This window comes from Homo sapiens, chromosome 8, assembly GCF_000001405.40.
Source record: "Homo sapiens chromosome 8, GRCh38.p14 Primary Assembly".
NCBI classification, from domain to species: Eukaryota; Metazoa; Chordata; class Mammalia; order Primates; family Hominidae; genus Homo; species Homo sapiens.
The window spans coordinates 37,535,773-37,554,860 of NC_000008.11; the positions used below are offsets into that span (position 1 = coordinate 37,535,773).

General features: G+C 48.2%; 1 long non-coding RNA gene across 3 annotated transcripts in view, besides 4 other annotated features; it reads right to left on the bottom strand.

The window, feature by feature from the left end:
• Positions 1-19,088, bottom strand: part of LINC01605 (long intergenic non-protein coding RNA 1605) — a 196,324-nt gene that overhangs the window by 132,257 nt on the left and 44,979 nt on the right. For 2 of the 3 annotated variants that reach the window (NR_170188.1, NR_170187.1), the window contains exon 2: positions 18,250-18,385. The exons of the other annotated variant lie outside the window; for it this stretch is intronic. This is a non-coding gene — a long non-coding RNA (long intergenic non-protein coding RNA 1605). The remainder of the gene's footprint in view (positions 1-18,249; positions 18,386-19,088) is intronic. 3 annotated transcript variants of the gene reach the window in all.
• Positions 7,697-8,197: an enhancer, noted in NCBI's record as "H3K4me1 hESC enhancer chr8:37400987-37401487 (GRCh37/hg19 assembly coordinates)". NCBI's record gives its function as "activates a minimal SCP1, AML or CMV promoter by ChIP-STARR-seq in primed H9 embryonic stem cells {active_cell/tissue: H9 hESC(primed)}" and the evidence as "EXISTENCE:reporter gene assay evidence [ECO:0000049][PMID:30033119]".
• Positions 11,395-11,929: an enhancer, noted in NCBI's record as "H3K4me1 hESC enhancer chr8:37404685-37405219 (GRCh37/hg19 assembly coordinates)". NCBI's record gives its function as "activates a minimal SCP1, AML or CMV promoter by ChIP-STARR-seq in naive H9 embryonic stem cells {active_cell/tissue: H9 hESC(naive)}" and the evidence as "EXISTENCE:reporter gene assay evidence [ECO:0000049][PMID:30033119]".
• Positions 12,045-12,546: an enhancer, noted in NCBI's record as "H3K4me1 hESC enhancer chr8:37405335-37405836 (GRCh37/hg19 assembly coordinates)". NCBI's record gives its function as "activates a minimal SCP1, AML or CMV promoter by ChIP-STARR-seq in naive and primed H9 embryonic stem cells {active_cell/tissue: H9 hESC(naive and primed)}" and the evidence as "EXISTENCE:reporter gene assay evidence [ECO:0000049][PMID:30033119]".
• Positions 12,547-13,046: an enhancer, noted in NCBI's record as "H3K4me1 hESC enhancer chr8:37405837-37406336 (GRCh37/hg19 assembly coordinates)". NCBI's record gives its function as "activates a minimal SCP1, AML or CMV promoter by ChIP-STARR-seq in primed H9 embryonic stem cells {active_cell/tissue: H9 hESC(primed)}" and the evidence as "EXISTENCE:reporter gene assay evidence [ECO:0000049][PMID:30033119]".

The following is a 19,088-nucleotide window of genomic DNA, read 5'->3' on the forward strand; positions in this document are numbered from 1 at the left end:
TTGCCCAGCGAAAAGAAGACCAGTAAGCAGAAGCTACACAATGACAGGGATTGTTTTCCTCAAATGTTGAGTAAAATCTAATAGATCTGTCTATTAGAGATTTCTCAGATGGTTGTGAGTGCCCTGTAATGTGACCCATTTAGACAGATGCCTGCAAAAGCCCTAACAGGGATGTCGTAGAGAAGATGTCCTGAGTGTCAGACATCCAGCCCTAGAAATCTGAACATCCTTCATGTTTCACTGCTGAGATGCTTGTTGGGAAAGTACCTCCTGAATTGTCCTAGAAATAGGCCCCAGGCTTCACCACCAGTTTCATTGCCCATGGAGAATAACCACCCCAAATTCCTCTTCTGAATCTTGTACCCAAGGCTGAGGCCCTCCCGGTTTGCAAATGGAAGAGTGTTGTATAATAGCCAGGACCTTCTGCAACATGGAAGGGTACTTCCACATGACTGGGTCCAAAGAAGACCCACTGGGCATCATCATACTTTTGGGAATCAAGTTTATGCAGGAGAAAAGATGATTTGGGGAGTACAGTAGCTACGCTCAAATATACTAGGGGCTGCATGAAGCAGAAATTTCATATTTTCAGCTTAGGGAAGTAAAAAATGCACAATAGGCTGGAGTCAAAACATTTAAGATTGAGCTATAGTCTCCCTGCATGCAAACTGTGGAATCCCAGACAAGTCACATGAACTCTCCAAGACTTTATTTCCTCACCTGTAAAACGAGCCTAATAACACACACATTGCAAAGTTGTTGTGATAATTATGTGAGAACATTGTGACCTGCAATTGGTATTCCCTAAGCTGAGCTTTTCAAGTGTGTCTTACCCAGCGCTCCACACCCAGTGCCTGGCATGTCACCTGCTATATATAATGCCAGCGTTCAGTAAATGGCCCTTGAATGAAATTGATGTTTCCTCAAAAGACAGAAGGCAGTCAATAGTTAAAGGTTCTAAGGAAGCTAAATCTCTCTTTAACTCAAGGAAGCTCTATCGAACAGCCAGAGCTGTCCACCAGGCTGATTCAGAGGCAGAGAGCTCTATTTCATGGAGGTATTCAATCCCAGAGCCTTGACCAGCTGCCAGAGATGCTCTAGAATGCACTCTCCCTGTAGAAAGATCCCCATAGGATGTGAGAAGCAGAGAGTAGCAAAGCCACATTAAGGTGTAGCTACAGCACTGAAAATCTGTCTCACTCACCAGGCAGGAATCTGCCTCACACACTGGCATCTCAGCACATGCGGTGCAAGCTCAGACCTCACCACAATCGCAAATTATGCCGTGAGCCTTAGGGACACTCACAAATTACAGCAAATATTAAAGCTACTCACACCAAGGTCTATTGAAAACCATGTTATCTGCCTAGACATCCCAATCCAACATGCTGCAGTGTTATGGCTCCTCACTTGTATGTTTGCAGCAGGTAAGAATCGGCATCACTCATTCATTCAACAAGCATCGATTGAGTATCTAATCTATGGCAGGCACTGCACTGGGGTGGGGAAGTGAGGGCAGTGGCTGAGTCAGGGACCAGGGATGAAAGCAGGAATAGGGTACAACCTTTCACACAACAGATTTGCTCTGCCTTAGAGACAAACATATCTATCAGGGACAGAGACATTCCATAGCAACCAAACAAATCAGGGTATAATTACAAACTGTAATAAGCAGCATGAAGGAAAAGTAAGAGGGATATTGAGGGACTATATAGAGGGCCAGTGTCAAGAAAAGGTTTCTCTGGGGAAGCAACATTTGACCTGAGAGCTGGACGCTGAGTCCACTTTAGCCAACTAAAGACTTGGGTGAAGCAGTTTGGAACAGCAGGAACAGCATTTGCAAAGGCCTGAGGCAGGAAAGTGAAGTTAGTCAAAGGACTGAGAGAAGGCGCATGTGGTTGGAAACTCTCAGCAAGTGAGGCAGAGGAGGAACTTGTTAGATATCTTTTCTATCTTATCCTAAATTCAAGAGATAACCAGCAAAGGATTTCCAGCAAAGAATGATGAGAACAGATTTGTGGCTTGAAAAGATCACCCAGAAGAAGAGAGTGGAAAGAGTGCAAGAGTGGAAGCATTTTAAAAACAATCATGGTCTCAGAATTTAGAAATAACTTAGGGTCACCATCAGAATATTGGGAGCTAGTAAAATTGAGTGTTTATATTACATTCTTCAAATTTCAGTAATAAAATGGATCCCAAAGTTGAAAAAAAAAAAACAATCATGGTCTGCCAGGTGCGGTGGCTCATGCCTGTAATCCCAGCACTTTGGGAGGCCAAGGCAGGTGGTCAGGAATCCAAGACCAGCCTGGCCAAAATGGTGAAACCCCGTCTCTACTAAAAATATAAAAATTAGCCGATTAGCCGGGCGTGATGGCTGGTGCCTGTAATCTCAGCTACCTGGGAGGCTGAGTCAGGAGAATTGCTTGAGCCCAGGAGGCGGAGGCTGCAGTGAGCCGAGATCGTGCCACTGCACTCCAGCCTGGATGACAGAGTGAGGACTCTGTCTCAGAAAATAAACAAACCAAATAATAATAATAATAACAATCCTGGTTGTCTGGAGGGGAGAGTGGTGACTTGCATGAAAGTAAGGTGGCAGCAGAGAGGTACTAACAAATACCGATTTCATTTGAGCTACCACTTACAGGAAAAGGTAAGAGAGCCAGGGGAAAAAACAATTCTGTGTGCTCAGGGAAAATTATGAGAATAAATTTCAAGGAATCCTAAAGTCTTACAGGGTCTGAAGACATATAATTAAAGCAAAAAGATAGATCTTAAGCACAGAACATTCACATAGCCTCAGGCTACTACTTAAAGAAGAAATAGAAGGAAATATACCAATATGTTAACGGCGGTTATCTCACATTAAGGGTGCTTTTTATTTCTATATTTGTGTGTTGCTGTTTTCCAAGTTTTCTACAATCATTTGTGTGTTTCTTATGTAATTAGGAAAAAGCAACCATGTTACTAATTTAAAAAATAATAATGTCATCTTTTCACTTTCTGGGCATGTCTACAGGAAAGACTTAAAACTATCCCCTGGAATTACACCTTCCTAGTGCGATCATGACCCTTCCTGGGGAAGAGGTAGAGGGGCATTCGGAAACAGTGATGGCCAATTCTCAGTCTCAGCCCCCACTGATCCTCAGGACAAAAACACATCCCTGTCATTGCTTTCTTCAATTTCCCTGATACAGTTCCTTTCTGTAGCTGACCTGCCTAGCGCTGCTCCAGAGCTGATTACATCAGAGACACATAACTGACTCACATTAAGACAACTGAATTTTCTCTTAGGAATTTGGGGTGGAGGCGATGAGACTAAGGTGGAGAATCATGAGCAGAGTTAAACAAGAATGGGATGGCGCAGCACTGGGACACAGGTGATGTGCAGCCAGCCAAAGCCACGAAGAAGCAAAAGCTAAGAATCTCCCTGAGGAAAGCCCTAGGCAGAGAACAGAACAGAAACCCAGCAGCAGTAAGAGGCCACACAGCTCCAGAAAAGCAGAGAATGCAGCTCTGGTGCGGGCTGCCCACTCCCCTTCCCCAGATGGTCTTTCTTTTCTTAGATGTCTGTGAAATGGACTGTTATGTCCTTTCAATAAATCTTGTTTACTTGAATTTGGGGAGTTTCTCTTCCTTAGAACCAAAGGAGCTTTGACTAGGAAATTTCCCTTCTATTCAACTAACAGCCCAACTTCTCATTATCTGCAAGCACACATGCATACAGAAGCCCACAGGCTAAAAACTTCCCTTTCCACAGTGCTCCCTCGATCCAAAGCCCCCCACCTTAAACCAGCCAGGTCAAGCCATGCTTCAGCTCCAAGATGGGTGCAGCTTCTCTGTACTCTCTACCTACAAGCCAAGTAAAGCAAGATCGGGCTATGGCCCCTGCCTTAAAGCCCATCCTGCATCTCCACCAAGAAACATGCAGCACCCGGTGACCTCATGCACTCTCCAAAGGCAGAAGTCTGCCCCTTGGGGAGAAGTCCCTGCAGGAGAGCCAAGGGCCTTGCAGCCACTGCTTCAAACCAGAGGAGAAAGGGAGTTTGACAGCTCCAAGGTAAAGCCTCTTTTTATTAAGACAACACAGCAAACTTTTTTAACCACAGCTGACATCACTCTAATAAATCACCATCATGTCTTGTGGGATAGAAAAAGCCAAAACACTGTCACATTTGATTTTGCTGGCCACTCACGGCTCAAGAACAAACCATGTGTTTTTAATCAACAACACTTTGTTTTGCATTTTTCAGCCTCAATACTCTTTAAATAGTTGCTTTTACCAGAGGGCTATTTTAAACCCAGGGCCAGCTTCTTTGCAGAGGACATTAAGAAACAGAACACCATGTTACCATCTCCCTAGGCTCAACCCAGGCACTTTCTCTTCTGTGATTATTATATACTATGAGGTCGTATCTGTCTGTTTCAGAGGGGGCTTTCCTCTTCCCTCCTTGGGAATTTAATTAGCTGTCTTCCCAGAAAGTTGGAGTTTTTTGGTTTCTCTAACAGGCAACCTGACTGGGTTATGGGAAAACGGCAAATTCCCAGCCAAAGGAAACAGAGAGAGTCACATCTGGGACTAGAATTCCTAAGGAGGGAAAGAGGCGGTGGCAGAGGAGGGGGACTGTCGGAGGAAAAGGAGCAATAAAACAAGATTTCTGAAATGGCACATGTCGATTTCTGCATGCAAACAGGCCCCAGACTTCTTGGAGGTGGATGTGCTCGGACAAGCCAACGGAAGCCTGTGTGGTGCTCTCCTCTGGTTTTCTGGAAATGGGTAGTATCTCAAGGCAAGAATAAGCTGTGTGCAGGAAGCTTGCAGGAAAAGGGGTTCCTTGCCTGACCACCCGATATACCAGGACCTCGACAGTGATGGGCAGCTGGGTTCATGGTGCCCAGATATTTGTTTCTAACAACGTGACTTTACAAAGACAATAAAAAGGAACTGAGACAGCCAGGCACGATGGCTCACACCTGTAATCCCAGCACTTTGGGAGGCTGAGGTGAGCGGATCACCTGAGGTCAGGAGTTCGAGACCAGCCTGGCCAACACGGAGAAACCCCATCTCTACTAAAAATACAAAAATTAGCTAGGCATGGTAGCACACGCCTGTAATCCCAGCTACTCAGGAGGCTGAGGCAGGAGAATCACTTGAACCCAGGAGGCAGAGATTGCAGTGAGCCAAGATTGTGCCACTGCACTGCAGCCTGGATGACAGAGCAAGACTCTGTCTTAAAAAAAAAAAAAAAAATACTGAGACAGATGATCCCAACCTAAAGAAAAACTCTATACTGTTTGCTGAACAGTTAACTTAGGCCCAGTTGTACGGTCCAACCAAAGAGACAGGCGTGGCTACCATGTGGTTCTCATGTCAACTACCAGCCCTCAACCCTACAACAAAATTCTTTTCCTTGAGCGAAATCCTCCAAGGTGGGTCAGATCAGGGCTTTCTTCTTCCATGGTGGTCCTAATTGTTCATCCTGTGCTGATCAGATCATGTCACATGCTGCATGTCACATGGGGTGGCCCCTAGCTGGTATAACTATCCACACTGCATGTCAGATTCATCCTTTTCAGGGTCTTAGCAGAGAGTCTAGCTGCAGAGGACCCTCAGTTGCTCAAAGCTCATTTTTTAATGAGGAGTCTTCATCAGCTAGATACTCTGGTGATTCCATTCTCTATGTACCATGCCATTAATTCATGAAATGTGCTGTAAGCTTGATCTTACTCCCTGGAAAACCAACTCTGCCAGTGTCTACTGCAAAAGTGCCTGCTCCCAAACATCTTCTGCACCTGCGGTGAGAGAGGGGCAGTAGTTTATACACATCCCTGTCATTGGCTCTAGGGAGAATCTTCCAGGCTGAGTGCTGTCTGAAAGACTGTCTCCCATTGCCCAGAAACCCTTTGTTCCATGGTCAGTTCTGTCTCCCTCGAACAAATGCATCCTCCTTTCCGTGTGCCTGTATTACCTGTCACTTTGCAGCCTCACTGGGTTTTGCTGCATTATCCTAGTCACCTGTGGGAGTTTCATCTGGTAATCCCTAAGCCCAGGTTAGGGATTACTTTTCCACTTGAGTATTATGAGTAGGTATTTAAACTCATGGCATGGGTCCTCAATGTTCCATGGCAAATGTTTTCATTCATTTGATTATCTTCAAGAATGAACTAGAAAGCTTGGAAACATAGAAATATTTCCAATATTTTCAAACTAGATAACTTGGAAATATTGGAAAACATCTTCTGGTTGCTATTTATATGGGTATTCCAGACTGGATTCAGAAGGAGATGTGTGTGTGTGTGTGTGTGTGTGTGTGTGCGCGCGCGCGCACGTGTGTGTGTGTGTGTGTGTGTGTGTGTGTGTCTAGAGGATTGCAGATTCCAGGACTGGTACCTGGCAGGAACATTCTTAAGGAAGCCTCAGTAGTTTCCACCCAAGTTTCTTCATGTGTTCATCTCCACTTGCTTCCCAGGGCCTCCTATCCATAGTCTTGGCCAGGCACACTGGGGCATAAGGATCGGGGAATGATAGAGACTTGCTCCTCAAAGTGTGGTCCATGATCGTGGCATTGGCGTGCTTGGCTTGGTAGTAATGCAGAAGTCCCACTGCCCCACACTTCTGACTCAGAATCTACAATTTTTTTTGAGGCAGGGTTTCACTCCTGTCACCCAGGCTGGAGTGCCATGGTGTGCTCTCGGCTCACTACAACTTCCACCTCCCAGGCTCAAGCGATCCTCCTGCCTCAGCCTCCGAAGTAACTGGGACTACCAGTGCATGCCACCATGCCCAGCTAATTTTTTTTTTTTAGACAGTCTCGCTGTTGTCCACCTGGGCTGGAGTGCAATGTTGCAATCTCAGCTCCTTGCAACCTCCACCTCCCAGGTTCCAGCAATTCTCCTGCCTCAGCCTCCTCAGTAGCTGGGATTACAGGCACCCACTGCCACACCCAACTAATTTTTGTATTTTTAGTAGAGACGAGGTTTCATCATGTTGGCCAGGCTGGTCTCAAACTCCCGACCTCAGGTGATCCACCCGCCTCAGCCCTCCCAAAGGGCTGGGATTACAGGCATGAGCCACTGTGCCTGGCCTGAATCTACATTTTAATAAGATCCCCAGCTGATATGTATGAACATTAAGTTTGAGACACTCTGGTATGTCTTAACCTTGGCTACATGTTAGAATCACCTGAGAACTTTGATAACACTATTGTTGTTAAGGTTTAACTTCAGATCAGAACAACCAGAATTTCTAGAGGTGGGGCCTGGGCCTTGGAATTTTACCTAGTAATTTCAATGTACACCCAGGGTCAACACTACTGATCTTAGAAAAATAATCATTTCTTAAGCATCTACTCTGTGCCCAACACTGATCAGAAGTTTTACAGAGGCCTGGAAGGGTTTCCTCCATGTCAGGGATGGCATGTCCCAGGTCCCACAGGCCCCATGCCAGAGCAGGCTTTGGAACCCAGAGCCTGAGCTCCAGACACCACCCATTCAGCTTTCAACCGTAGCAATATCCTCACATCTGAGGACTTACTGACAAGCAGAGAAGCTCCAGGGAGCCCAGGCTGGAGGTATGCAATGTTCCTCTTATGAACAGCAAAACAGGCTGAAGTGGGAATGAAACTGTGCACAAGAGCACAAATTTGGGAGTTGCTGCCACTTGCTCAGCTGGGGACCCACCCTCCCTGGAAAGGCCGGGTGTAGCAGCCCAGAGGCCAAGAGACACACCACTGGACGGAGCGCCCAGCGCCCCTGCATTGTCCCATCCGGAAAAGCCAGGCCAGCCAGGTGAAGGACTGCAGCCGGGTTTAATGGAACATTGATGAACAAGACATACTTATTAGTAAACAATAATTACAGGAGAGCAGGTGCCCCAAGGGGAGCAGGTAACACGGCGGCCCCTTTTGCTAATGCCCTCTGTGCACCAACCCTGTTTGAAATTAAAACATCCCTGCTGTCAACACAAGCGTTTAAAGAGACCTGGATTTCTGTAATAGAAGAAGTAATTCTAATGCCTGCTGTTAATTGAAGGCTTCATCATTTACAGGGTGCTTTCACAGAAACTAATGCATTTAATCCTCAGAACAAGCCTGCGAGGCAAGGATTTTTCCTTATCTCATTTTCTAGACGAGGAAACTGATGAAGGGGCAGGCCCAAGGTCACGCAGCTAGTCACTGAGTCATGGAGCCGGAATTTGAACTCAGGCCTTTGGAGGCAAGGCTGATGCCCTCTGCATTGCCCCACAGCTGCCCCCTAAACCATGCTAATAGCATTTGGTCAAAACCCCAATCCCCCCAGAAAATGTGCCCTGCACTGTGGAATTCTCTTTGCTGCTAGTCATCGGAGCCTGTATCCCTCCCAGCCCACATCCTGTGTTCTGGCTGAACTCTTGGGAGACATTCTTATTGTTCCCAGTGCTTCCCTTTTCGGAGTCGTAAGGCAGCTATGAGCAACAGTTTGGCAGCCCAGAAGAAGACCAAGGCAGGCAAAATCTGAAAAGTTTACACATAAGCATACACTCACAGAGACAGACACACACACACGCACACGCACTGCATTTCAATAGCAGCACATGTTCAGGGTAATGTTTTAAGTCTCCTCAAATTCTAGGTGGAAGTCATGAGCGAAAGAGATCATGAACGCTTCAAATATGGCTACGGAGTTATAAGCGTCATCACCAACTCACTGAAGATTAAGGAATCTGGGAACAAATTAGCCTGTTGTAGACAGTGACTTAAGGAGAAGTCTCAGGGAGGAGCCAGAGAAGCCAACAACTTTAAATCCTGTAAAGTTTTTTAATCAAGTTACACTATTATTTGAAATTGGCAGAACACCAATGGATTTAGTCCAAAGACATAATTTATGATTTTTTTTTTTTTGGTTTTCTTTTTTAAGGGCATTAGGGTTTTAGTTCCTTTTTTCCTTCTTCTTGAGGCTTTTTTTTTTTTTTGGCAATATGTCGCTTTCTTTTCTCAAATCTGTTTTCATCTAACATGTATAAAATGAAGCCAGTTCGAGGGAGCCCTCTATCCCCCTTCTCCTCATACCCCTAGAAGAGCTCACTTCTGGCCGGGCACAGTGGCTCATGCCTATAATTCCAGAACTTTGGGAGGCTGAGCAGGGAGGATCACCTGAGCCCAGGAGTTCCATATCAGCCTGGACAACATGGCAAAATCTCATCTCTCCAAAACATTTAAAAATTAGCCAGAAGTGGTGGCGTGTGCCGATAGTCACAGCTACTCAGGAGGCTGAAGTGGGAAGATGGCTAGAGTCCGGGAGTTTGAGGCTACAGTGAGCTATGACTGCACCACTGCACTCCAGCCTGGGCAACAGAGGGAGACCCTGTCTCAAAAAAGAAAGGAAGGGGAAGGGTGGGGAGGAAGGAAGGAAGGAAGGAAGGAAGGAAGGAAGGAAGGAAGGAAGGAAGGAAGGAAGGAAGGAAGGAATGGGGCTCAGCCCTGTAGCCACAAGCAACATAATTTTGTGCAAATGGCTATCAACTCCCACTGGTTCTCCCTAACCATTCAGTTATTCCCTTGCAGAGAACGAGAGTGGGGTGAATGCCAAATCACCCTGAGATTATGAACTTTTCTCTCCAAGTGGCCCCTCTCCATTCCAAGTTCCCCTGAAAGTCTCCCTCTCAGGAGTTTTGTCCTCACAGGCCTCTCAGTTCCAGGAGGCTCCAGGCCCCTCCTGGCCCATCCCCACGCCCCAGAGGCCTCTCCGAAGGCTGCTCTCCCTACACTCCCTCGCTTCCTTCCCAGGGAGCCCCCGCGAGGCTTCGGTGCCCTGGGAGCACACACATACATGCAACTCCCCTCCCACAGGCCCTGAGAAACCCTGCAGATCAAAGAGCCCAGCAGCAGGGCCAGGTGTCCGTCCTCCTCCACAGGCCACGATTAATCAGACCGCCTGACTCACAAGGAGATCAAACTCGGCACCCCGCCAGCTGTTGGTGAACGCTGGCCTTCAAGTTGCCCTCATTAAATTTCCTTTCCCTCTTGCTCTCCCTGCTGACTCCCGTCCCGTGACCATCTCACTCTTGGATCTTCTTCTCGCGCTCTTCTCTCTCTCCCCACAGGCTTGCAACTTCTGTTTTCCCCCATTTCCTTTCTTCACCCTGTCCTTCTCTTGTTCTACTCACACCCTCTCCCCCACCTACCACCTCTGTCTCTCTTCAATTCATTTAAAATTCCAAAACCCCCAAGCCCCATGCCTGGAGAGTCCCTCCTGGACATCCCACTCGGCCTATAAAAGTTCCAACAAGGAAGCAGCATGGGATGTCAGTGCCAGGCTGCAGGGGTGGCCAGCCACTGAGGTATTGAGGAGGGGACTTCAAGGCCAAGGAGGAGTCCACCAATGCCGAGCTGAATTCTCACCTGACCTTCTTGGCAGCGGGCTCAGGCCTCCGCAGCAGCACTTCCCACCACACACACACACCATTTCCAGGCTGCTAGTCACTTTTTGTTTTCAAAAGACCTCTAAGCCCTCTTACAGGGAGCTTCTCAATGTAGCCTCTCATTATTGGATCAGCTATCCAGTCCTCACCCCACCTGTCCAGTTTGCAAACCTCACCGGAAGAACCAGTTTCAACTAGAACAAGAAATGCAGTCACCTAGAAGCTGGAAAAACGGGCAAAGATCCTTTCTATTCCTCCTATCAATGCCCAGAAAAAGGAAGAATGAGAGCATTGGATCCTGACTTCCACTCGGCTGATGTGTTGCGAATATTTACTCCAGTTGTCTAAGGATTATTTTTATACACTTTTTCTTGCAACAAACACTGGCAAAAAAAAAAAAAATTTAAATAAAAAAGCAAATACAGGCTGTACAGGCTGCAGGGTACTGTCCTCTCTTTCTCAGCCTCACTATATATACATCTACGGATTTTTTAACTTGTTTTTCATTTCAGCGGTTCTTAAAGCGCACAGGCGTGAGAAAACACAGATGGGTTGGAGCAGACTACGTTGTAACTGTGCACAGAAGACATCGCACCATGTTCAAGATTTTCAGAAGTCTTGGAAGACCTCGGGATGCAGAGAGGTTTTTTGGTTTCGGTTTGGGGTGCTTTTTTTTCCCCTTTCCTCCTTATATAGTTGGAATTCGCTGCTTGTTTCCTCTCTGTTCTATTTCTATTTCCCTCGTAGCACCTGCTGCAGCTGGGAACACAGGGTCCCTTGGTCTCAGCGACAGGGTCACTGTGGCTGCCCCGGGCTTGACCCCACCTCTACCTGTGCCTGTTTCCCCAGCTGCGGGGAGGCAAGCCCGGCGGGAGGAGAAGCCATCCATCAACCTGCAGCAGCCGAGGCCCAAGTGAGGGCAGGAAGGGTCAGGGCTGGTGCGCACTTGAGCAGGTTAGAGAGGAGGAGGAGGAGGTTACAGATTGTTGAGATATCAGCGCTGGGCTTGATGGATGGTGCGGAAGGAGGAACAAGACGCTGTCCTCCCAGCCTCCTCTGGCACCAGGACAGAGCCCACGCTCCAGGTCTCCACCGACTTCTTCCCGCCCCCCACCCCATACACACACACCAGCCCCCTCCTCCTTGGCTTGCTTTTTCTTGCCTGCTTACAGCCCATCCGTCAAGCCCTGCCCTGAAGCTGACCTTTTGCAGACAGCAGACAGCCTAAGAGAACCATCTCTTGCTGAAAGCTCTCAGCAAGGGGTTTTATGAACATGGGCGGGCCTGACATGGGCACCACAGCCACTCCCCTGCCCCTCTGCCTGCCTCCTAGCTTGTGAGTGCTGTCAGCCCTGAGCAAGAAGAAAAAGGCGAGGGTGTGCCCAGATTTCTTTAGCAGTGCTCCTATTTCTCTCTCCGGGCCCCAAACACACTTCCAGCCCAGGTAGGCTCTGCCAGGTCTAACAGTCCCCTGGGAGCTGTGGGCTCTTGTCTCACTCTGAAACTCACCCATCTATACAGCCTCACCTTCACCTCTGCGTCATCTGCCCTCTTAAAGGCAGTGATGGGGATTTCAGGAAAGGCACTGTGTTCTCCTCTGGAGAAAAGCTAAAGTTGAAAAAGTGCAAAGAATGCTCATTGGCAGCATAAGCTGAGGCAAGGAGAAGTGCTCTGAGCTTGGGCAGTGGGTAGACACATGGCTGGGCAGTTGCTGGCTGGCTGGGGAATCTGTTCATCTCGCTGGGGCTCCAATTTTGGAGACCACACAGGTTGTCAGTCACGCCACGGCAACAGCACAATAGAACAGAGAGTGGGGACATGTTGGGGCAAACAGTGATGGAAGATGTTTAATAGAATTACCATTAGGCCTCGAGTTAATGAATCACAACTGCAAGAAATCATGATAATCCAGCAGGCATTAGTGACAGATTAGCTTCAAAGCTGCCATAAAAGTGCCATAATGCTTACCTAACGGCATGATTAATTCTCCCAGTGCATAATGGCTTTATGGGGGAACGAGGCACCAACAGAGGCTTGATGGAAAGCCATGCCGAGATCCCAGAGCACAGAGGGTGTTCCCACCCTGCCCAGCCCATGTGGCTTCCGCTCCGCCCGGAGGAGACTTCAGCCACTGCATTGTGGTAGACAAAGTCGAGGCTCAGGCTCACCCCAGAGCCATCTCCCCAGGAGCCCCTGCCATCTCTCCAATGCTGTGCCCCTTACCAACTGACAGTTATCCTAAGAGGACACCCCAGTCCCCAAGATGGGCCCCTCCTATGACTAGCACTGGTGCCTGGAGAGCCCCACCCCAAGTCCCCTGATCAAAGGATCCAGCATGGAAAGATCTGGAAAGACTGCTGCACTAGGAACTCACCACAACTCCGCCCCTCACTAGCTGCGTGACCTGGCAAGTCACTTGAACTCTCTGGGCTCAGGCAGCCAGGCTCTGAGTGTGCACGCTTCACCACCAGACTGCCTCCCTATCTCAGCACCTATTTATTAGTCCCTAACTTCTGTTCCAAGCATGATCTGAATCTCCTTGTATATTTCATTTCATCCACTGCCCATAACATTCCCATGAAATAGTTAACCCTGTTATCCTCACTTTACAGATAGGGAAACCGAGGCTCGGCAAGGCGAGGTAGCTAGCCCACAGTCCAACTAGGGATAGATATGGAACCAGGCAGTATTCCCTAGTTCCTTGCTTCTCTATCAGCCTCCTTCAGCCCTAATACCACCAGTTTAACCTCAGGGGAAAAGCAGCTGCTTGTGAGACACCGAACATCATCTTTTATGAAAAAGACAGGATCAGCACTACTCAATTCCCTGCCCCTTCCCCTTGGCAGTGGAGGAACCATGAGCTGGAAGGCAGGAGATACAGACTCTCCTGCTCCTGTTTACCTTGACTCTGTGGTTCCCATAGTATTACCTGGGCACTTCACCCTTCTGGATTTCTGTTTCAGCTTCTCTTTTAGAAAAAGAGAATAATAATAATAATAACAATAATAATAGCACCGTGCCTGCCTGGCAACAGGGAGCTGAGCCTCTGGGCCCCTGGAGGCTCAGATCTACCGGTGCCCAACAATCACCAGAGCCAGGGCCGCTTTGCTGAATCATCCCCAGACTCTACTTCAGAGGCTGCCACTGTGGTCCTCCCATCATCCCATAAATATGGAGGCAATTAGCATGGAGCTCAGGTCCAAAGGGAATTCTCAGAGCCCTGTTCATCTTCATAATGTTGAAGAAAACCCTCTAGGAGGCCCGCGTCACTGCTGCGGCAGGCTAGCTGCTTCTGCTCTGATTAGGGATCCAAGAGACTCACACAGCTCCCCTCCTATAGCCCTCTCCTAGCCCATAGTGCTCAGGGGCACCCACTAGACTGCCACTGAGAAGTCTATAAAAAAGACACTCCGTCCTCTCCTACCAAAGCATTAACAGGCTCCAAACTTTCCCAAGCTCTAGACTTCTTTTACCTTATTTTATTTTATTCTACTTTATTGTAGTTCACTTAGTGATAGGGTCTCTCTGTCGCCCAGGCTGGAGTGCGTTGGCACAATCATAGCTCGCTGCAGTCTCCAGCTCCTGGGCTCAAGCGATCCTCCTGTCTCAGCCTTCCAAGTAGCTGGGACTACAAGCACATGCCACCATGCCTGTTAATTTTTTTCATTTTTGTAGAGCTGTGGTCTTGCTATGTTGCCCAGGCTGGTCTCAAAATCCTGGCCTCAAGTGATCCTCCTGCCTGAGTCTCCCAAAGCTCTGGGATTACAGGTGCGAGCCATCACACCCAGCCCTATGTTCCTTTTAAATTCCAGAATCAAAGGGCAAACCATCACTCAATCAGCAAGTACTTACTTCCACAGGGCACTATAAGGAAAACCAAGAAGATCCACTTTATCCCTTTGCAGCCCTGGGTCCCAGAGTGGACATCTGCTAGCACTGCTGATGGCAGTCTCACTGCCAGTTCTGGGTGGGTTTTCTAAAGGCGACTATCTTTGTGATGGCCCATGTACCTCTCAAAGCCCCATTCTCTTGTTCGAGCTGATTGCCTGATGTATGTCGAGCTGACTGCCTGATATGTGTCAAACTGACCCTATCACCTTGGTTACAAAGCCATAAAATCCCAGGGTTGCAAGAGACCTCAAAGAGGTTTTTTCTGCCCCCTCCCAAAATCTAACCCCATCCACTATGAACTCCTCTTGAGTCAAATACATAGTTCTTACTTCAACATGCCGTGCCCAGTGAAAGCTCAATAAATATTTATTGATGGTGGTGCCCATGATGAATTAACAGCCAAAGCTATAAAATTAAAGTTTCACACAAGGAGAAACCCCAGTGAGAAAGAAACTGCTAAATAAAGTTTACAATTTTTCAAAATGACAAGTGTTCACACACACACACACACACACACACACGGCGTGGGAGACAGAAGACCACCATTCTCTAACTTGCCTATTCAAGGAATCGGAAAACAGGAAAGTCCTTCTCATAGAATATTCCTGCCTCAGTGGAGGGTGTGCTCAGCTTCTCAGAGGTCAATCAGCCTAGCCTGTCAGGATGTGCCTGGCCCTGGACCAAGCGTCTCACATTGTCTCCTTGCTGGAACCAAGAGCCAATGGAACAAAAACACAAAAACACAAAAACAAAATGGCGCTGTTTAGGGCTTTATCCAGTGTCTCAAATGGGCGAAAGTAAACACAAGGATATATCCAATTCTAAGGATGCTAAAACCTCAAGAAGGACAGACAGCTTAAAGGAGAATCCTTAACAAGATAATACGCACCTAGGAAAAAAGGCTAGGGTGTGTAGCTATAAAGAAGACAAGAACTTTGAGACCTATTGAGTAGAGACCAGTCATCACCAATCACAGCCAACCCTTGCAGCCCTTCCCCTGCCCCAATGTGTTTAGAGACATGAACACGCTGATTGCAGGTCTAAGAGCCTCCATCGTTCTTTTTAGAACCAACTGACAGAGCTAGCTTTTTTCTTCCCCCAGCTCCCTGGACTTCCTTGAACTGCAGCATGGAAGCACCAAAGCTCGCTTGCCGCCTTTCATTCTCCATCCTATGTGACTTAGCAGGAGCTCATGGGAACTGCTCAGTCAGGATCTTGTCATACCGAGCCACAGAGCTGTCTGGACATCAGGCAGAAGAGGGCCCTGCAACTCCTGATACCAAACCAGAGAGGACTGTTTACAAGCTGATCAGGTTCGTGGGCTAAAGAAAACCTCAGGCAATCTGGAACGGGGAAAACAGGGAAGGCCTTGAAGAAATGGATTAGACCAGCCCTGACAACATAGCAAGACCCTATCTCTACAAAAAAATTTAAAAATTAGCCAGGCATGGTGACACGTGCCTGCAGTCCCAGCTACTCAGGAAGTTGACGCAAGAGGATCATTTGAGCCCAGGAGTTTGAGGCTGCAATAAGCTGTGATTGCACCACTGCACTTTAGCCTGGGTTAAAAAAAAAAAAAAGAAAAAAGAAAGAAGGAAAGATAAGGAAATAGATTCGAGTTTGTGCTAATCTTACAAAGTTAAGTGAGATCATACCCCCAGATTCTCTCCCACCAGAGGGAGCTGGTTGGAGCCTGGTTTTGCATTAGCCCAAAATGTTCTGATGCAGCACACCGTGGGGCTGGTGAGGGTTGGGTGGAGCTGGAGCAGACATAGAAAGGGAAGCCCTTGAAAACCAAAGACAGTGTCTTAGGGGGACAATCACACCATGCCCTTTCCCAGGTCCAGCCCTTTGGGCAATGTTGCAAAAGATCCCCCAAAAGAGCTTCTGCCTGGAGCAGGTCAGGAGCTGCAGTGTGGGGGCCCTGGGGCTGCGCTGCCTCTTCCAGTCTTCTCCTGGACACTAGGCCATTCTCCCTTTTCCAGCTCTTGCTCCTTGTCCAATCCTCAAGAACCTCTTATTTGAAAACTATGCTAGTGGTTGACCAGGTAACCAGAAATTTAGAAGACAGAGAGAGAGGCTGGGCACAATGGCTCACGCCTATAATCCCAGCACTTTGAGAGGCCCAGGTGGGAGGATCACTTGAGCCCAGGAGTTCAAGACCAGCCTGGGCAACAGAGTGAGACCTCATCTCTATTAAAACTAAAGAGAATAAATAAATAAATTAACTGGGCGTGGTGGCACGTGCCTGTAGCCCCAGCTACTCAGGAGGCTGAAGCAGGAGGACTGTTTGAGCCCAGCAGTCTGAGGCTACAGTGAGCTACGTTGCTGGGCGACAGAGTGAGACCTCTAGAAAAAAAAAAAAAAGAAAAAAAAAAGACAGAGAGGTTGGGGGAGGGGGTAATCTATGAAGCTATGGACAACGAACATCTCATGGCATCACCCTACCCTCGGCTTGGTAGAGTTCTTCTTGCGGGAAGACCACAGCATGTCCATGGACCGAAAGAGAACACCCACAGTTCACTTGGCAACACTCAGTGGGCCCTTCCCAGCCCAGGCCTGTCTTCCCTGGCTGCTGAAGGTGGCCTCATGATTCCGCTCTAATTTTTGGTGTGTGTTCCTGCCCAAATGGGGTGTCTGATCTTGTCATGGCCAGCGTTTGCTGCAGAAGAGGACCTGGTACACTTTTATAGGAACCCAGTTCTTCCCTGGGGCTAGACTCTAATGCTGTCCAGATGCAGAAAAACAGAAGGGCCATTCAAAAACAACCGAAATATCAACACACTTTGAAAGCGGTCTGTTAGCACTTGCCATAAGCACAATAAACAAAACAATGAAACCATCAGAAAGCACCGTGAGACAGTCCGGCTTTAGGAACTTGGCTTTGATGGCTTAGAAAAGCAAAGAAAGGGGGCAGAACCAGTTCCCACTTGGGCTGAGGCTTGTTTATTCTGCTTATCTGAAGTCAGAGCTAACAATCCTCATCTCGATGAAAGGACCTAGAAGTTTCTCCCTCACAACTGGCCCCTCTGCAGAGTAAGGTGGCCTTCTGCAAGTGGTCAGTTTCTGCATGTGGCCCATAAAACACCCATTTTATAACATGACTCCGGTCTGTTGAAAGACCCTTGTTTCCTCTGTGTTCCATCAACAGATGAGTGAGCTCAACAAACAAGAGCATCTGCTGGAGCCCTTACCTGGGTGGGCTGGTGGGAGGGAACCCTGAGGCAGGGTTCCAGTTGCCCCCTCCTCAGCAGTTAGCTACCCTAACCCCAGGTGAGTCTAAGCAGCAACCGAGGGGGCTGTTGGTTCTGCCCAAGGCCCCACTGCTGAGACCTTTGTCCTGCTTTGGAGGGAGAGACCACTGGGAGAGAAATGTCACCCGTCATCCCAGCAGACACTGCACACTGTCTTCCAATCTGAGTTGCGGAGCTGGGGCTGGGGCTGTCCCCCCGGGTGAAATGAGGCCGCCTTTTCACCACAGTCACTCAAGGTTATTTCCCACTGTCTCCATGGCGCAGGCTTTGCTTAATTCCCGAAGTGGGTGCTGGCCAACTCATCTATCAAATTACCCTGCCAGTGATTTAAGTGAGCTTAGTTCATTTGGGTGCCGTCCTCTTGCCTTTTGACTCTTAGTCAAGCAAAATAGGGGATTAACCAAAGGGGCGTAGGGGGACTTGACGTGGCTGTCTGTTGCGGGAGGCTGGAGGGCACCAGAAGTCAATGTGCCCCAATGACAGGGTGACAGCCTGGGAGGCCCAGGACATGGGCTCCGGTGCTCTGCTGTGCCTTACAACCATAGGTCCCTGTCACGCATTCCCCCGCCTCCCGCAACACACACACGGTGGCCCTCAGTCTCCTAAGCCCCATGGGTAGATGAGTCAGAAGACTCTACTTTGTTCTTCCTTCCTAATTGAAAAAGGCGGGGAAAAAAACAGATGCCAGAACAAAGGCACTAAACATACCTAGAGCAGGAACTCTCCCTTCTCTGCTCCAGGCCTGAAGACTGCAGTCTGCTTTACCATCATCCTCTTTCTTCTCTGTAGAACACGTGCAGTGTCTGCCAGTTCAGTCTGAATCCAGCTGTTTCCCTGGAACAGACTGTTACCGATTCAGCAACAATCAGTAAAAATTTAATGTGCCCAATCGCCGCCCTTTAACTCCTTCCCACATCTGAACGGGTGGGGATAATCTTGAGACCCAACCCCCAACTTCCCCAGATGGCTTTCACTCTATTGTAAATGCCACTCCCAGCATGAAGGGCCTACCCCCTCCACTCCTGTCTGGCCGGATGGGGACCAAAACAGCAAAGCCCAAGAGACTTAGGGTCGGATGCCTTCCAGAGTGGCCACCTTTCCATTGATTGGCTTCCTGTGGCACAGAAACATCCATAGGATATGGATTTTTGGAGTGAGAAACCTGTGATTCAAACCCCATCTTTAGCCCACACTACCAGCCAGCCTCTCGACGGCTAATTCATCTATTGTAAGGACTAAAAGAGGTCATGTCTAGCCAGGACCAAAGCACAGCCCAGCACAGAGTACGTGCAATAAATATTAGCTGCTTTATTCTCATCTTTGCCGAAATTCAGCTGTCCATCAATCCACAGACAAGTATTTGTCAGACGCCAGTTAAGCGCCCAACACAATGGGAGTTCAAAGGATACAGATAAATAAATCAAGATCACTGCCTTGGAGGCACTCCCAGGATAATGGAGAAGATAAGCAGATCTTTAGAGACAGAAAATGCTTTGGCAACACAGAGTGACATTCTTATGGGGGCCATAGGGGCCTGTACCAGCTTA